General features: G+C 64.3%; 3 protein-coding genes across 57 annotated transcripts in view, besides 9 other annotated features; 2 read left to right on the top strand and 1 right to left on the bottom strand.

Annotated features, from left to right (window-relative positions):
- Positions 1-652: part of an enhancer, noted in NCBI's record as "H3K27ac-H3K4me1 hESC enhancer chr8:145750035-145750697 (GRCh37/hg19 assembly coordinates)", that runs on past the window's edge. NCBI's record gives its function as "activates a minimal SCP1, AML or CMV promoter by ChIP-STARR-seq in naive H9 embryonic stem cells {active_cell/tissue: H9 hESC(naive)}" and the evidence as "EXISTENCE:reporter gene assay evidence [ECO:0000049][PMID:30033119]".
- Positions 1-2,915, top strand: part of LRRC24 (leucine rich repeat containing 24) — a 4,646-nt gene extending 1,731 nt beyond the window's left edge. Inside the window, exons 2-5 of the mRNA NM_001024678.4 lie at positions 270-487; positions 584-862; positions 1,025-1,193; positions 1,894-2,915. Coding sequence (NP_001019849.2) covers positions 329-487; positions 584-862; positions 1,025-1,193; positions 1,894-2,828 — 1,542 coding nt within the window. The 5' untranslated portion in view covers positions 270-328 and the 3' untranslated portion in view covers positions 2,829-2,915. The remainder of the gene's footprint in view (positions 1-269; positions 488-583; positions 863-1,024; positions 1,194-1,893) is intronic.
- LRRC14 (leucine rich repeat containing 14) lies at positions 125-7,311 on the bottom strand. 20 transcript variants are annotated; one of them, XR_007060776.1, is made up of 8 exons: positions 7,262-7,311; positions 6,488-6,554; positions 5,249-5,602; positions 4,481-5,065; positions 1,970-4,392; positions 1,494-1,667; positions 1,198-1,379; positions 125-1,042 (listed from the first exon to the last, which is right to left on the bottom strand). XR_007060776.1 is itself a non-coding variant. In NM_001272036.2 (5 exons), exons 3-5 carry the CDS (start codon positions 5,575-5,577, stop codon positions 3,825-3,827), a joined length of 1,482 nt encoding a protein of 493 aa, NP_001258965.1. In that variant the 5' UTR covers positions 5,578-5,688; positions 6,488-6,554; positions 7,262-7,311; the 3' UTR covers positions 131-3,824. The 20 variants fall into 20 exon arrangements, 7 of the variants coding, with proteins under 7 accessions (NP_001258965.1, XP_005272416.1, XP_016869494.1 ...); XR_007060769.1 differs by having other exon boundaries at positions 1,198-1,667; XR_007060774.1 differs by lacking the exon at positions 6,488-6,554 and having other exon boundaries at positions 5,249-5,688.
- Positions 502-651: a silencer, noted in NCBI's record as "silent region_19703". NCBI's record gives its function as "represses an Ori minimal core promoter by ATAC-STARR-seq in GM12878 lymphoblastoid cells {active_cell/tissue: GM12878}" and the evidence as "EXISTENCE:reporter gene assay evidence [ECO:0000049][PMID:35858748]".
- Positions 653-1,315: an enhancer, noted in NCBI's record as "H3K27ac-H3K4me1 hESC enhancer chr8:145749372-145750034 (GRCh37/hg19 assembly coordinates)". NCBI's record gives its function as "activates a minimal SCP1, AML or CMV promoter by ChIP-STARR-seq in primed H9 embryonic stem cells {active_cell/tissue: H9 hESC(primed)}" and the evidence as "EXISTENCE:reporter gene assay evidence [ECO:0000049][PMID:30033119]".
- Positions 2,260-2,469: a silencer, noted in NCBI's record as "silent region_19702". NCBI's record gives its function as "represses an Ori minimal core promoter by ATAC-STARR-seq in GM12878 lymphoblastoid cells {active_cell/tissue: GM12878}" and the evidence as "EXISTENCE:reporter gene assay evidence [ECO:0000049][PMID:35858748]".
- Positions 2,680-2,969: a silencer, noted in NCBI's record as "silent region_19701". NCBI's record gives its function as "represses an Ori minimal core promoter by ATAC-STARR-seq in GM12878 lymphoblastoid cells {active_cell/tissue: GM12878}" and the evidence as "EXISTENCE:reporter gene assay evidence [ECO:0000049][PMID:35858748]".
- Positions 2,777-2,965: a silencer, noted in NCBI's record as "fragment chr8:145747722-145747910 (GRCh37/hg19 assembly coordinates)". NCBI's record gives its function as "represses an EF-1alpha promoter that drives an FKBP-Casp9 reporter gene in an ReSE screen in phorbol 12-myristate 13-acetate-treated (for megakaryocytic differentiation) K562 erythroleukemia cells {active_cell/tissue: K562(+PMA)}" and the evidence as "EXISTENCE:reporter gene assay evidence [ECO:0000049][PMID:32094911]".
- Positions 3,970-4,632: an enhancer, noted in NCBI's record as "H3K4me1 hESC enhancer chr8:145746055-145746717 (GRCh37/hg19 assembly coordinates)". NCBI's record gives its function as "activates a minimal SCP1, AML or CMV promoter by ChIP-STARR-seq in naive H9 embryonic stem cells {active_cell/tissue: H9 hESC(naive)}" and the evidence as "EXISTENCE:reporter gene assay evidence [ECO:0000049][PMID:30033119]".
- Positions 6,856-7,025: a silencer, noted in NCBI's record as "silent region_19700". NCBI's record gives its function as "represses an Ori minimal core promoter by ATAC-STARR-seq in GM12878 lymphoblastoid cells {active_cell/tissue: GM12878}" and the evidence as "EXISTENCE:reporter gene assay evidence [ECO:0000049][PMID:35858748]".
- Positions 7,116-7,865: a silencer, noted in NCBI's record as "silent region_19699". NCBI's record gives its function as "represses an Ori minimal core promoter by ATAC-STARR-seq in GM12878 lymphoblastoid cells {active_cell/tissue: GM12878}" and the evidence as "EXISTENCE:reporter gene assay evidence [ECO:0000049][PMID:35858748]".
- Positions 7,470-14,015, top strand: RECQL4 (RecQ like helicase 4). Of its 36 annotated transcripts, none has more exons than NM_001413017.1 (22): positions 7,470-7,602; positions 7,668-7,701; positions 7,795-7,889; positions 8,113-8,253; positions 8,539-9,137; positions 9,234-9,315; positions 9,413-9,539; positions 9,846-9,977; positions 10,061-10,153; positions 10,231-10,367; positions 10,778-10,861; positions 10,941-11,114; positions 11,196-11,375; positions 11,591-11,732; positions 11,823-11,887; positions 12,165-12,456; positions 12,532-12,661; positions 12,742-12,911; positions 12,979-13,159; positions 13,236-13,392; positions 13,514-13,622; positions 13,748-14,015. In NM_001413017.1, the coding sequence occupies exons 1-22, from the start codon at positions 7,519-7,521 to the stop codon at positions 13,870-13,872; spliced, it is 3,333 nt and encodes a 1,110-aa protein (NP_001399946.1). In that variant the 5' UTR covers positions 7,470-7,518; the 3' UTR covers positions 13,873-14,015. The 36 variants fall into 36 exon arrangements, 33 of the variants coding, with proteins under 33 accessions (NP_001399946.1, NP_001399949.1, NP_001399958.1 ...); NM_001413020.1 differs by having other exon boundaries at positions 11,823-12,085; NR_182091.1 differs by having other exon boundaries at positions 8,539-9,315; positions 11,823-12,085; positions 13,040-13,159.

Here is a 14,015-nt window from a genome sequence, read left to right as displayed (position 1 = left end):
TGGGTGGAGAAGGAGAAGGTGACAGGGTTGGGTGGCTCTCCCTACATGGTCACATCCTGTGAAGACACTGAGGACACCAGGAATTCTAAATTTGAACCTGATGCCCCAGAGCTTTAAGAAAATGTTTTTGTCAAAGGAGAAAACCAGAACGTTTTATTAGTTTCTTGAACCTATTTATAGCGTCAAAAGTTAGACGCAGGTGCAGGCCTCCATTCCATCTATTGGCTGGCTCTCGACTGCCGAGACTGGCCTGCCAACCTGTGTTTCAGGAGGGCACGCGTCTGCGGCTGAACCGCGGAAGGGCCGGTGAGGAACCGGGCCTCGGGAGATGGCCCTGAGGGCCCCCGCACTGCTGCCGCTGCTGCTGCTACTACTGCCGCTCCGCGCCGCCGGCTGCCCAGCAGCCTGCCGCTGCTACAGCGCCACGGTGGAGTGTGGCGCCCTGCGGTTGCGCGTCGTCCCGCTGGGAATCCCGCCAGGGACGCAGGTGGGCACCGTGTGGAGCTGCGGGAGGACGGGGTGCCCCCAGGGAGAGGAAGACCCCCGCAACGGGGTAAGCGCCTCCTCTTTCCCCGGCCTGCAGACACTGTTCCTGCAGGACAACAACATCGCCCGCCTAGAGCCGGGAGCCCTGGCGCCACTCGCCGCTCTGCGCCGGCTCTACCTGCACAACAACAGCCTGCGCGCCCTGGAGGCCGGCGCCTTCCGCGCGCAGCCGCGCCTGCTGGAGCTGGCGCTCACTAGCAACCGGCTGCGCGGCTTGCGCAGCGGCGCCTTCGTAGGCCTGGCCCAGCTGCGCGTGCTCTACCTGGCGGGCAACCAGCTGGCGCGGCTGCTGGATTTCACCTTCTTGCACCTGCCGGTGAGCGCCTGGGGTCTAAAGGGGCGGGATACTCCATTATGGCCCCTCGCCCTGTAGGGCTGGAATAGTTAGAAAAGGCAACCCAGTCTAGCTTGGTAAGAAGAGAGACATGCCCCCAACCTCGGCGCCCTTTTTCCTCACGATCTGCTGTCCTTACTTCAGCGACTGCAGGAGCTTCACCTGCAAGAAAACAGCATTGAGCTGCTGGAGGACCAGGCTCTAGCGGGGCTGTCCTCCCTAGCACTGCTGGACCTCAGCAGGAACCAGCTGGGCACCATCAGCCGAGAGGCCCTGCAGCCCCTGGCCAGTCTGCAAGTCCTGCGCCTCACAGGTACCTCTTCCTCGGAAAGCGTCTCTGTCTGGGCCACGGTGTTGGCAGTAGGGAGCAGGCTCATGTGTGGAGGGGCTCTGACATCAGGCAACTGGGCAGCAGTCTGGAAGGCTGCACCACCGCCTGCAGCCACACTGGAGGGCTGCGGGAGTGGGTGTGCTGGGGAATACAGCTCAGGCACCCTGCCTGGGGAAAACAGAAGACAGGAACTCCACAGGGTGACTTAACAGAATTGAGGGTTCTGCACACTTTTAGGCTGAGGGGAGGCAGACAAAATTGCAAAGGAGAGAGACAGCTGACCAGGACTGGGGACATTCCCAAGAGAGGGCATCCAAAGGCAAGGCTGAGAGGACTTGTGAGGTTTCAGTGCTGGTGAGATGTCTATGTGGACGCCCAGGTTCCTAAAAACAGTGGCACTTGTTGCAGGAAGACTTAAGGAGCAGGTGCTTTCTCAGAGACCGACGGAGAAGTGATCTGTAACAGGCAGGCATCACAGAGCTAAAGGGGAGGGGGGCGAGGGTGAAGGGCCTGCCGCCCCAAGGAGCTTGGGGTCAAGGAAGGGGTGGCAGGGCCTTGGACTCCGTGTGAAAACGCTGTGGGAGGTGGGAAAGAGGCCTCTGTCCTGGCCTGCAAAACCCCAACTGCACAGGCTGTTTTAGCAGCACCCTCAAGCCACCTGCCTAACGCTGCTCTCCCACAGAGAACCCATGGCGCTGTGACTGCGCCCTGCACTGGCTGGGTGCCTGGATCAAGGAGGGCGGCCAGCGGCTGCTCACCTCCAGGGACAGGAAGATCATGTGTGCAGAGCCCCCGCGCCTGGCGCTCCAGAGTCTCCTGGACGTATCCCACAGCAGCCTCATCTGCATTCCGCCCTCTGTCCACGTGCAGCCGCTGGAGCTCACAGCCAACCTGGGTGAGGACCTGCGGGTTGCCTGCCAAGCCTCCGGCTACCCGCAGCCATTGGTGACCTGGAGAAAGGTGCCCCAGCCTCGCGAGGGCCGGCCGCGAGCCCAGGCCCAGCTAGAAGGCGGGTTGCTGGGCCTGGGCGGACACTCGGCATCCGACACGGGCAGCGGCATGCTCTTCCTCAGCAACATCACGCTGGCGCACGCCGGTAAGTACGAGTGCGAGGCCTCCAACGCCGGCGGCGCTGCCCGCGTGCCCTTCCGGCTCCTGGTCAACGCGTCCCGGCAGCAGCCGCAGCAGCCCGCGCAACCGCCGCCTCCGGCCGCCCGCCCCGCCGGCAGCGAGCCCCGGCCCGAGGCGGGCAGCATGGCCTTCCGCGCCCTGGGCGTGGCCACACAGACGGCCATTGCGGCGGCCATCGCGCTGCTGGCGCTCACGGCGCTGCTCCTGGTCGCCATGATCTGTCGCCGGCGCCGCAGGCGAAAAAAGGCGCGGGGGCCTCCGGGGGAGGGAGCGCTGTTCGTCAACGACTACTTGGACGGCCCCTGTACGTTCGCACAGCTAGAGGAGCTCCGCGACGAGCGCGGCCACGAGATGTTCGTCATCAACCGCTCCAAGCCGCTCTTCGCCGAGGGTCCGGCGGAGGCGCCCGCTGACTGCGGCCCGGAACAGGGGGCGGGGCCGGGACTCCGCGTGCCCCCGCCGGTCGCCTACGAGATCCACTGCTAGGGCCGCGGGCGCGCGGATGACGTGGGCGCCGGAGATTGGCCGGTGCGGCCTCGCGCATGCTCCGTCAGTAAAGGTGGAAGCCGCGCAGTGTGCGCTGAGCCGTGTGTGGGGCGCGAGCCGGGAACGTTGCACTCGGGAATCCTGGGGTAGCAATGGAAGGTGGCCGGGGAGGCCCCAACACCTCCCTTGAAGCTCTTCCGAAAAGACATCACCCCAACCTCCAGCTCTGCATGGGGGGGGTCCCTCGCTGGCCCTGGCCGGCCACAGTAGGATCTTGGGCCTCCGAAAGGTGGGAAGAGCAAGGACTGGCCGGCAGTGCCGACGGGGCTGCCCCGCGAAGGGCGGGGCGACAGGCTGGATGGCAGTTGTTGCCGGGTGGCCATGTTGGGGGTGACAGCAGAGATAAGGATAAGGGTGACCAACGTGGACAGAAAAAAAAACAGCCACAAATTCAACTTCCAGGCACATGTGTACCTTGATGACCCCCTCCAGCCCGAGCCCAGCCCAGTGGGGTGGCTGGGTGGCAGGGTAGGGAACACGTAAGAGGCGTGAGTGCCTGGGGACTCCCAGCTTCCCTGAAGCAGGCCTCTGTCCAACTTCAACCCCAGAAGCACTGAGCTCTCAGTAAAGGGAGAGGAAAGGCCCAGAGAGGCCATCATCTCTCTCAGCTCACAACTGGAATCCCAAAGCATTTGCACAAAGGACCAGGACCCCAGACGGCAGCCAAATGCAGCCAAACTGAGCAGGGCAATGGAGGCCTGACATCCAGCCCCGGGGCCCACAGATGATCAGCCAATTATGGAGCAAGTGCAGGGAAAACCGCGTGGGGCACTGCAGAAAGCAGGGGAGGCTTGAGGTGTGCCCAGAAGCAAGGTAGACCCAGCAGGAAACCAGTAACCAGTGCTTTTGTGAAGGCCTCCACCAGGGGTCCCAGCAAAGGCCCTGCCTACCTAAAGAGACTGCAGGGCGGCCTGTGTCTCACCCAGAGCTACTTCATCATAGGCTGAAGTAGTCCGCAGCCAGTCGCCCGTAGATGTCCGTGGTCCAGAGCACATGGGCACGGCCTGAGGCTAGAAGCAGCTGGTGCAACTCAGCTTCTACGCGGGCAAACTTCTCCTCATTGATGGAGGCCTCCAGCAGGACAGAGGCAGGCGGCGGCCAGGGCAAGCCCTCATAGCAGTCCACAGGGAAGGGGTGCACCACAGTACGCAGCTCAGCCTGTGCCACTGAGTCCCGCAGCAGCTCCTTGAGGCCCGCCATGGACAGTGGGTTGCCATAGAGGCCAAGGTACCGGAGACTGGCGCACTGAGTCAGGATGGGTAGTGTGGCCAACAGCTGGGTGTCTGCGAGCTGACACTCAGTCAGCTCCAGATGCAACAGTGTGGCTGCTGATGCCTGCAACAGACCCTGGAAGGGTGCCAGCTGGCTGCCAGACAGGTCGTTACCACTCAGGTCCAACTTCTTGAGGTGGGCAGCATGTGGGCTCCGTGCCAGGAAGCGTAGGTCCTCAGGCAGCAGAGCACAGAAGGCCAACTCCAGGCTCTCCAGGGGGCTCTGCAGGGTGCTACAGGGGACACAGGGGTCACAGACAGGCAGAGCCAGGGAGGGTCCCTACAGAAGGGAGGGGCAGGGCAGTGGTGGGGCCCGCTCACCTGAGCAGCTGGTCCAGCCTCCCTGAAAGGAGAGAGGAGCCCATGCTGAGCTCACGCAGACAGGTGAAGCGGCCCATCTGGGCAAGGAAGTAGCGGAAGTTGTCCTCGCCATCCACGGAGGGCTGCCTTGAATCCCCATGCACATAGTGGAGCCGCAGGCTGGCCAGGTGCTGGAAGCGGGCCACGTGTGGGATGATCACAGACAGGCCGCGCAGGCCCAGATTGTTGAAGCGCAGGTCCACGCGGCGCAGGCAGCCTGCATCCAGAAGCTGCAGCAGGGCCACAGTGTTGCGCATGGGCAGGTCCTCAGCTCGCAGGTCCCGGCAGCAGAGCCGCAGCGGGCTGCCCACGCTGCTTCGGAGTGCCTCCCGCAGGAACGCATAGGAGGCCCGGTTCACCCGCAGGTCCACGCGCACCTCCACGGGGATGGGGGCTGGCCCAGGCTCTGCGGCCCCACCCTGCTGCTGGGCAATGCATGTGCGAGCTACGGCAGCAGTACAGTCCCACATGCTCATGGTGCCAGGATCCTGTTCCACACCATCATCCAAGAGGCCCGTCATGTCCAGCACCCGCAGCGCATGCTTCCTGGGAGTAGGAATGGTGTGAGGAAGGGGTGGAGGGGCAGCGCCCATACCCCCTCCCAGCCACCTTGGGACAGGAGCAACGCGCCTGCTCCTGCATGAGCTCTTGCTAACTTTATGACCCAAGCCTCCTCAGGGGACCCACTTACACACCCCTGGCCTGACGACCCTCCAGATAAGTCCATACCTGCAGAGGGGCTGTGTGCTGGCCCCAGGCTCTGAGGTGTGGAGCCGGGCAGTCAGCCCCAGGATAACAGCCTGCATGCTCTCAGTGCTAGGCCGCTCCTGCAGGAGGGCACGGCTGCAGTGGGCACACTCCTGTAGCAGCTGCTGGAAACTGAGCAGCGGGAAGGGCCACGTGTGTACCAACTCGCGCAGTACCACTGTCTTCTTGTCCATGAAGGCCACCTTGAACAGCAGGGGGAAGAGTTCGCGTGGCAGCAAGGGCAGGGCCTGGCAGGCAGCTGGCTGGCACTGCAGCACCTGCCGTGTGCTCAAGAACACAAGCGTGTGCATGGTGCTGGGCCGGGCAGACGGCCACCTGCAGGAGAGGGACTTCAGCAGGGAGGAGAGACCCTAGGCCACTACCAAGCCACACACAAGTGGTAGGAAGGCCCAGCATAGTGCCTGAAACAAAGTCAGCAGTTAGCAGTGGCCATGGCACAGAGAAGCACCTATTAGATGCCTAGCGCTGGGCTGGGTGCAGTGAACTGGCAGACAAACTCACAACTCAGCCCCAGCCCTCCAGATGCACAGGATCTCTTTAGAGAAACTAAGCGTCAAGCAGTGTGGCATCGTCAACAACTCGCTTGCTTGGGTATGCTTTTGACAGATGCCTGTTGCCTTGCAGGGCCCCCCATGGGTACTTCAGGCCTCTCAAATTACAAAGCTGCTTCACAAAACCTTCTTCGAAACCTGAATAAAGCCCAGGACTCTCCCCACCAACCTTCATCAGCATTAGTATTGACGGGACACTCTAAGGAGTCAAGCAGCCAAATCACCTTTCCCTCCCCTCTCCTCACAGATGCTCTCCAGGGCTACACTTGGACTCCACAAAACACCAAAGAGCTGGAAGCACAGAAGCAGCTTCATAAGCAACAAGGCAGGTTGAAAAGACCGAGACCCAGGGAACACCGAGTCCAGATGATGTAGCCTATAAAATACAAGCCCCCGCAAAAGCTACTATTCTCCAGAGCGTCACCAAGCACGGAGACCCCGAAAGAAAGCAACCCTCACCTTTGTTGGCCCTTACCACTGGCCTAAACCTCTCCCTCTTCCCTGGAGAGCCACTGTGGAAAGACCAAGTCTTAAGTATGTGGGATTCAGAAGGTGCAAAGCTACAGACTGCTCAGACAAGGCAAAGAAAGCTGCCTCAGCAGCACCCAAGCTGCAGAGATGCACAAACACTCCCAAGGCCACAAGGTACCTGTGACACAGGGTGCCAGCCCTGCTGCTGCCTGTAGCATCCTCAAAACTAAATCGCAGCCATCTCCCTGTGACAGATTAGAAAATGAAGGCCTCGGCCTGGCCCAAGGTCACAGCCTGAGTGACAAGCCAGGGAAGGGGGCCGGGGAAGACACTCTGGCCCCAAGGCCCTTCTTTTTGTCGACTTTTCCACATACAAGTAAGTCCTTAAGGCACCGGTTCCTGAAAAGTCCCAGACACCAACCCTCGGCCTAGTTCTGCCGGTGGACAGATCTCAACGATCATACTCGCTCTGACAGGACAGACCAACCGAGCACTTGTCACGGGAGAACACCAAAGCAGACGGCCTGCCCACCAAGGGAGGCAGGCACCTCCGTGCGACGCCCCCTCCCCTCCCGCCGGCCGCAGGGAACGCGACGGTCCTCGGTCGCCTGCGTTTCGCGAAGACGCCCCCGCCCGGCTCCTCCGGGCCTCGAGCCGCGGGAGGCGCTGGACCCTCCGCTCTTTCGCCTCCCGAGCGGGGCCTGCTCCTCCAGGTCGGATGCGTCTCCCACCAGGGCCTGACGCCGCTCCGACCGGCCCGGGGACTCCCAGTCCTTCCCGGCCCGCGGTGGCACCTCCCAGGCTCCCGGCCTCGGCCCCGGGCTCCCAAATGCAGCCACTGCCTCCCTCGGCCAGGCCGCCCCGAGCGACCGGTGCCCCGCCCCTTGAGGCCAGGCAGGGCCAGGGGCGTGCGCCGCCCCGCTCAGACACCCCCCCGGCCGCCCGCGCTCACCGGTCCCGCAACCGCAGCCACCGCCTCCAGCCCCGCCTAGACCGTCCGCCGCTCCCCGCCCGGCGCCGCGGCGCCCCGCGATGACGTTGACGCCTCCCATTGGCTGCTTGTCCGAGGCCCGACGGACTGGCTGCCCAGGGGCGGTGGCCCCGCCCCCGGCCCGCCGCGCATCCGCATTGGCTGTCGGCCCCCGCGACGGCTGCGCGGGAGATTCGCTGGACGATCGCAAGCGCGGAGGCCGGGCGGGCGCGCGCGCCATGGAGCGGCTGCGGGACGTGCGGGAGCGGCTGCAGGCGTGGGAGCGCGCGTTCCGACGGCAGCGCGGGCGGCGACCGAGCCAGGTGCGGGCTGCCCAGGGGCCGAGGGGCTGAGGGCGCGGCCCGCGGCTGACGCGTTCCCTTTACAGGACGACGTGGAGGCGGCGCCGGAGGAGACCCGCGGTGAGCGCGCGGCGGGGCGGCGGGGGCGAGAAGACACCGGGTCGGCAGGGGCCCAGGCCCCACCCTGACCCCGCCTCCCGCTCGCCCACGCAGCGCTCTACCGGGAATACCGCACTCTGAAGCGTACCACGGGCCAGGCCGGCGGCGGGCTCCGCAGCTCCGAGTCGCTCCCCGCGGCGGCCGAAGAGGTACCCAGGCCCCGCCGCCCCAGCCTCCTCCCACTTCCCTGTTTGGCGGAGTGGCGGGAGCCACGGAGTCGCGGCCAGGCCGCCGTGGGGCACAGAACTTGGGAGGGGGACTGGGCAAAGTGAAGAAGGGCCGGGCCTCGCTCCAGGTGCGGGAGGGGTGGCTGGGAGCGCTTCTGCCGCCACAACAGCCTTTTCTGGCCTGTGCCCCTGTTGTCTCCTGCAGGCGCCAGAGCCCCGCTGCTGGGGGCCCCATCTGAATCGGGCTGCGACCAAGAGTCCACAGTCTACGCCAGGGCGGAGCCGCCAGGGCTCGGTGCCGGACTACGGGCAGCGGCTCAAGGCCAATCTGAAAGGCACCCTGCAGGTGAGGAGTGGGCAGGCAGTGAGTCCACGCTAGGTCCACAGCTGCTTCCGGTCCGGGTCGCCCTCTTGTCATTTTTTCCACACAGACAGGCACGGGCCCCTGTGCCAACCAGGGCACGAGTCTTCAGGGAGCTTCTCGGGGCCTTCGCCCTTGACTCCCTTTCTAGTCCAGCCTTGTGCTAATTAGCCTGCTCTACAATTGAGCGTGGGGACTCAGGTAGGTTTTAGAGTCTACAGTAGCTCAGGGGCCTGAGTTCCTCCTGCTGTTCTGTTGTTCCCCTCCCAGGCCGGACCAGCCCTGGGCCGCAGACCGTGGCCTCTAGGAAGAGCCTCATCTAAGGCATCCACCCCAAAGCCCCCAGGTACAGGGCCTGTCCCCTCCTTTGCAGAAAAAGTCAGTGATGAGCCTCCACAGCTCCCTGAGCCCCAGCCAAGGCCAGGCCGGCTCCAGCATCTGCAGGCATCCCTGAGCCAGCGGCTGGGCTCCCTAGATCCTGGCTGGTTACAGCGATGTCACAGTGAGGTCCCAGATTTTCTGGGGGCCCCCAAAGCCTGCAGGCCTGATCTAGGCTCAGAGGAATCACAACTTCTGATCCCTGGTGAGTCGGCTGTCCTTGGTCCTGGTGCTGGCTCCCAGGGCCCAGAGGCTTCAGCCTTCCAAGAAGTCAGCATCCGTGTGGGGAGCCCCCAGCCCAGCAGCAGTGGAGGCGAGAAGCGGAGATGGAACGAGGAGCCCTGGGAGAGCCCCGCACAGGTCCAGCAGGAGAGCAGCCAAGCTGGACCCCCATCGGAGGGGGCTGGGGCTGTAGCAGTTGAGGAAGACCCTCCAGGGGAACCTGTACAGGCACAGCCACCTCAGCCCTGCAGCAGCCCATCGAACCCCAGGTACCACGGACTCAGCCCCTCCAGTCAAGCTAGGGCTGGGAAGGCTGAGGGCACAGCCCCCCTGCACATCTTCCCTCGGCTGGCCCGCCATGACAGGGGCAATTACGTACGGCTCAACATGAAGCAGAAACACTACGTGCGGGGCCGGGCACTCCGTAGCAGGCTCCTCCGCAAGCAGGTAAGACAGCGACGGGCCAGGACAGGCATTCCCTTTCCCTCCCCTCAGCCCTCCCGTATTTCCCGCCCAGTGACCCTCCTATGTGGGCACCCCCCAGGCATGGAAGCAGAAGTGGCGGAAGAAAGGGGAGTGTTTTGGGGGTGGTGGTGCCACAGTCACAACCAAGGAGTCTTGTTTCCTGAACGAGCAGTTCGATCACTGGGCAGCCCAGTGTCCCCGGCCAGGTGAGACATCTGCCCTGGAGGGTGGGTCCGGCCAACACTGTGGAGAGGGCGCAGTGCTCTTTTGGGGGACACTTATGTTCCAAGCAACAGGCCTTCCAGGTACCCCTGGTCCAGGCCCTACCCTAGCTCCCCTGAAGGAGGGTGGCAGGGACGACGATGGCTGTCACTCTTTTCTGCTTTGGAAAAAGTAGCCCAGAGGAAGGGCACTGCCTGCTGCCAACCCCCTTTGGGGGAAGGAGAGGTTGTGGCCAGTGGTTGTCTTGCCCGACCTGGAGCTCCCATTCTACCCTCTCCTGCCTGCCCCAGCAAGTGAGGAAGACACAGATGCTGTTGGGCCTGAGCCACTGGTTCCTTCACCACAACCTGTACCTGAGGTGCCCAGCCTGGACCCCACCGTGCTGCCACTCTACTCCCTGGGGCCCTCAGGGCAGTTGGCAGGTGAGCAGTCAGCTTCTGGCCCAGAGCCTTCACTGAGGGGTTGGGGTGACTCAAGTCATGGTGATCAACATCTGTGTCTGCAGAGACGCCGGCTGAGGTGTTCCAGGCCCTGGAGCAGCTGGGGCACCAAGCCTTTCGCCCTGGGCAGGAGCGTGCAGTCATGCGGATCCTGTCTGGTGAGCGTGGCTGCCAGGGCTGAGGCTGGGCTGAGGCCAGGCTGCAGAACCCTGCTGCTGACTCCCGCCCCATCCAGGCATCTCCACGCTGCTGGTGCTGCCTACAGGTGCCGGCAAGTCCCTGTGCTACCAGCTCCCAGCGCTGCTCTACAGCCGGCGCAGCCCCTGCCTCACGTTGGTCGTCTCTCCCCTGCTGTCACTCATGGATGACCAGGTGTGCACACAGGGCCCTGGGCACACGTACACAGCCAAGAACCAGCACTTGTGACTCCCAAGGGCAACTGCTGCTTGTCCCCTAACCACCCCCTCCCCTGGGAGCTTCAAGGTGTCTGTGGCCTCAGTCCCAGTCTTGGCAGCAGGTCAAAGGCAGCCCAGCTCCACAGGCACCACAGCCACCCCTACGGGAAATGTGCTGGGAAAGGAGCCATCCCTACTTCAGTCTGTCTGCTCTGGGGCTCCTGGGCCAAGGCCCACAGGTGGCTCTAAACCCTTAGCCCTAGGACCCAGGACCTGGTTCTCCTCTCCCCTGAGGGACTAGGATGGACATGGCAGCAGCTCTGGGATGACTTGGGGAAGGGCCAGGGCTGGGCTGGCGTATGACGGCTGTCGCTCCTGCATTTGCAGGTGTCTGGCCTGCCACCGTGTCTCAAGGCGGCCTGCATACACTCGGGCATGACCAGGAAGCAACGGGAATCTGTCCTGCAGAAGGTGGGGGCCTCATGGGCCTAGGGGTGAGGGAGGCAGCGGGCGGGCACCTGGGCTGTGCCTCTGATCTTGCTGCCTTCAGATTCGGGCAGCCCAGGTACACGTGCTGATGCTGACACCTGAGGCACTGGTGGGGGCGGGAGGCCTCCCTCCAGCCGCACAGCTGCCTCCAGTTGCTTTTGCCTGCATTGATGAGGCCCACTGCCTCTCCCAGTGGTCCCACAACTTCCGGCCCTGCTACCTGCGCGTCTGCAAGGTGAGCCATATGTGAACTGGGGTGGGCGGCCAGGGCCGGGATGGGCTGGGCGGCCTCACACCACTGCCGCCTCTGGTGCAGGTGCTTCGGGAGCGCATGGGCGTGCACTGCTTCCTGGGCCTCACAGCCACAGCCACACGCCGCACTGCCAGTGACGTGGCACAGCACCTGGCTGTGGCTGAAGAGCCTGACCTCCACGGGCCAGCCCCAGTTCCCACCAACCTGCACCTTTCCGTGTCCATGGACAGGGACACAGACCAGGTGGGTGTGTGTGCTCTGGGGACCCTGCAGGGCCCTGGCTGCTGACTGCCCACGCCGACCCCTCCTCACTCCCCACCGCCCACGCCGACCCCTTCTCACTCCCCACCGCCCACGCCGACCCCTCCTCACTCCCCACGCCGACCCCTCCTCACTCCCCACTGCACACGCCGACCCCTCCTCACTCCCCACTGCCCACGCCAACCGCTCCTCATCAGGCACTGTTGACGCTGCTGCAAGGCAAACGTTTTCAAAACCTCGATTCCATTATCATTTACTGCAACCGGCGCGAGGACACAGAGCGGATCGCTGCGCTCCTCCGAACCTGCCTGCACGCAGCCTGGGTCCCAGGGTCTGGAGGTGCGGCATGGACAGAGCTGGTGTCCCCGTGGACCCACCTTGGGCACACATGGTCCCATCCCACTGACCATCTGCCTGTCTTCCCCAAAGGTCGTGCCCCCAAAACCACAGCCGAGGCCTACCACGCGGGCATGTGCAGCCGGGAACGGCGGCGGGTACAGCGAGCCTTCATGCAGGGCCAGTTGCGGGTGGTGGTGGCCACGGTGGCCTTTGGGATGGGGCTGGACCGGCCAGATGTGCGGGCTGTGCTGCATCTGGGGCTGCCCCCAAGCTTCGAGAGCTACGTGCAGGCCGTGGGCCGGGCCGGGCGTGACGGGCAGCCTGCCCACTGCCACCTCTTCCTGCAGCCCCAGGTTGGCACCCCCCCCCCCCACACTGCCAGTGCTCGAGCCCCCAGTGGTCCACCCCACCCTCATGAAAGTTGCCCTGCAGGGCGAAGACCTGCGAGAGCTGCGCAGACATGTGCACGCCGACAGCACGGACTTCCTGGCTGTGAAGAGGCTGGTACAGCGCGTGTTCCCAGCCTGCACCTGCACCTGCACCAGGCCGCCCTCGGAGCAGGAAGGGGCCGTGGGTGGGGAGAGGCCTGTGCCCAAGTACCCCCCTCAAGAGGCTGAGCAGCTTAGCCACCAAGCAGCCCCAGGACCCAGAAGGGTCTGCATGGGCCATGAGCGGGCACTCCCAATACAGCTTACCGTACAGGCTTTGGACATGCCGGAGGAGGGTGAGGAACCTGGGGTAAGCCACAGGGGTGTGGAGGGGCTGTCCCCGCGTCCGCTGAGCCCTGCTCTGCCCCCAGCCATCGAGACTTTGCTGTGCTACCTGGAGCTGCACCCACACCACTGGCTGGAGCTGCTGGCGACCACCTATACCCATTGCCGTCTGAACTGCCCTGGGGGCCCTGCCCAGCTCCAGGCCCTGGCCCACAGGTAAGCACGCCCTGCCCAGTTGGAGACGAGGTTGGAGAATCAGGGCTGTTGGCCACATGTCCCTTTTTCCCTGGGCACAGGTGTCCCCCTTTGGCTGTGTGCTTGGCCCAGCAGCTGCCTGAGGACCCAGGGCAAGGCAGCAGCTCCGTGGAGTTTGACATGGTCAAGCTGGTGGACTCCATGGGCTGGGAGCTGGCCTCTGTGCGGCGGGCTCTCTGCCAGCTGCAGTGGGACCACGAGCCCAGGACAGGTGCGCCTCTCCCCACCCCACACCGCCCTGGACGCTGCCTGCCTGCATCTGACATGCTTTCCGGCAGGTGTGCGGCGTGGGACAGGGGTGCTTGTGGAGTTCAGTGAGCTGGCCTTCCACCTTCGCAGCCCGGGGGACTTGACCGCTGAGGAGAAGGACCAGATATGTGACTTCCTCTATGGCCGTGTGCAGGCCCGGGAGCGCCAGGCCCTGGCCCGTCTGCGCAGAACCTTCCAGGCCTTTCACAGGTTGGGAGGAGGCGGGCGGGGCCTGGGACCATCCACCCTCCCGCAGTGATCAGCTCTGACAGGCTCCTCCCCACAGCGTAGCCTTCCCCAGCTGCGGGCCCTGCCTGGAGCAGCAGGATGAGGAGCGCAGCACCAGGCTCAAGGACCTGCTCGGCCGCTACTTTGAGGAAGAGGAAGGGCAGGAGCCGGGAGGCATGGAGGACGCACAGGGCCCCGAGCCAGGGCAGGCCAGAGTGAGTGCAGTAAGGCCAGGCAGCTCATCGGGGTTGCAGGTTCCCTGGGCTGCATGGGGCTTGCTCTGTGGATGCAGTGCCACGGGAGCTCAGAGGAAGCCTGATGTGCCTGTCCACACAGCTCCAGGATTGGGAGGACCAGGTCCGCTGCGACATCCGCCAGTTCCTGTCCCTGAGGCCAGAGGAGAAGTTCTCCAGCAGGGCTGTGGCCCGCATCTTCCACGGCATCGGTGAGGCCTGGGAGGCCCCACCCGCTGCAGGCTGGGGCTGGGGGCTGGGGCAGGTGAGGCCTGGGAGGCTCCACCCGCTGCAGGCTGGGGCTGGGGCTCACGGCTGTGTCTTGGCTCCACCGTAGGAAGCCCCTGCTACCCGGCCCAGGTGTACGGGCAGGACCGACGCTTCTGGAGAAAATACCTGCACCTGAGCTTCCATGCCCTGGTGGGCCTGGCCACGGAAGAGCTCCTGCAGGTGGCCCGCTGACTGCACTGCATTGGGGGATGTCGGGTAGAGCTGGGGTTGTCAGAGGCTAGGGCAGTGACTGAGGACCTGGGCAAAACCTGCCACAGGGTGTGGGAACGAGGAGGCTCCAAAATGCAGAATAAAAAATGCTCACTTTGTTTTTA

Source organism: Homo sapiens, chromosome 8, assembly GCF_000001405.40.
Source record: "Homo sapiens chromosome 8, GRCh38.p14 Primary Assembly".
Taxonomy (NCBI): Eukaryota; Metazoa; Chordata; class Mammalia; order Primates; family Hominidae; genus Homo; species Homo sapiens.
This window is presented reverse-complemented; position numbering and strand designations above follow the sequence as displayed.

Bases quoted from the DNA above. Each gene is read 5' to 3' on its own strand.
- LRRC14 (XM_024447336.2), bottom strand. From the start codon at position 5,577: ATGCACACGCTTGTGTTCTTGAGCACACGGCAGGTGCTGCAGTGCCAG. The intron at 5,066-5,248 runs GTATGGACTTAT...TCCTACTCCCAG, and splicing joins AGCACACAGCCCCTCTGCAG to GAAGCATGCGCTGCGGGTGC. The intron at 4,393-4,480 runs GTGAGCGGGCCC...TGTCCCCTGTAG, and splicing joins AGGCTGGACCAGCTGCTCAG to CACCCTGCAGAGCCCCCTGG.
- RECQL4 (NM_001413019.1), top strand. From the start codon at position 7,519: ATGGAGCGGCTGCGGGACGTGCGGGAGCGGCTGCAGGCGTGGGAGCGC. The intron at 7,890-8,112 runs GTACCCAGGCCC...TGTCTCCTGCAG, and splicing joins TCCCCGCGGCGGCCGAAGAG to GCGCCAGAGCCCCGCTGCTG. The intron at 10,368-10,777 runs GTGTGCACACAG...CTGCATTTGCAG, and splicing joins TGTCACTCATGGATGACCAG to GTGTCTGGCCTGCCACCGTG.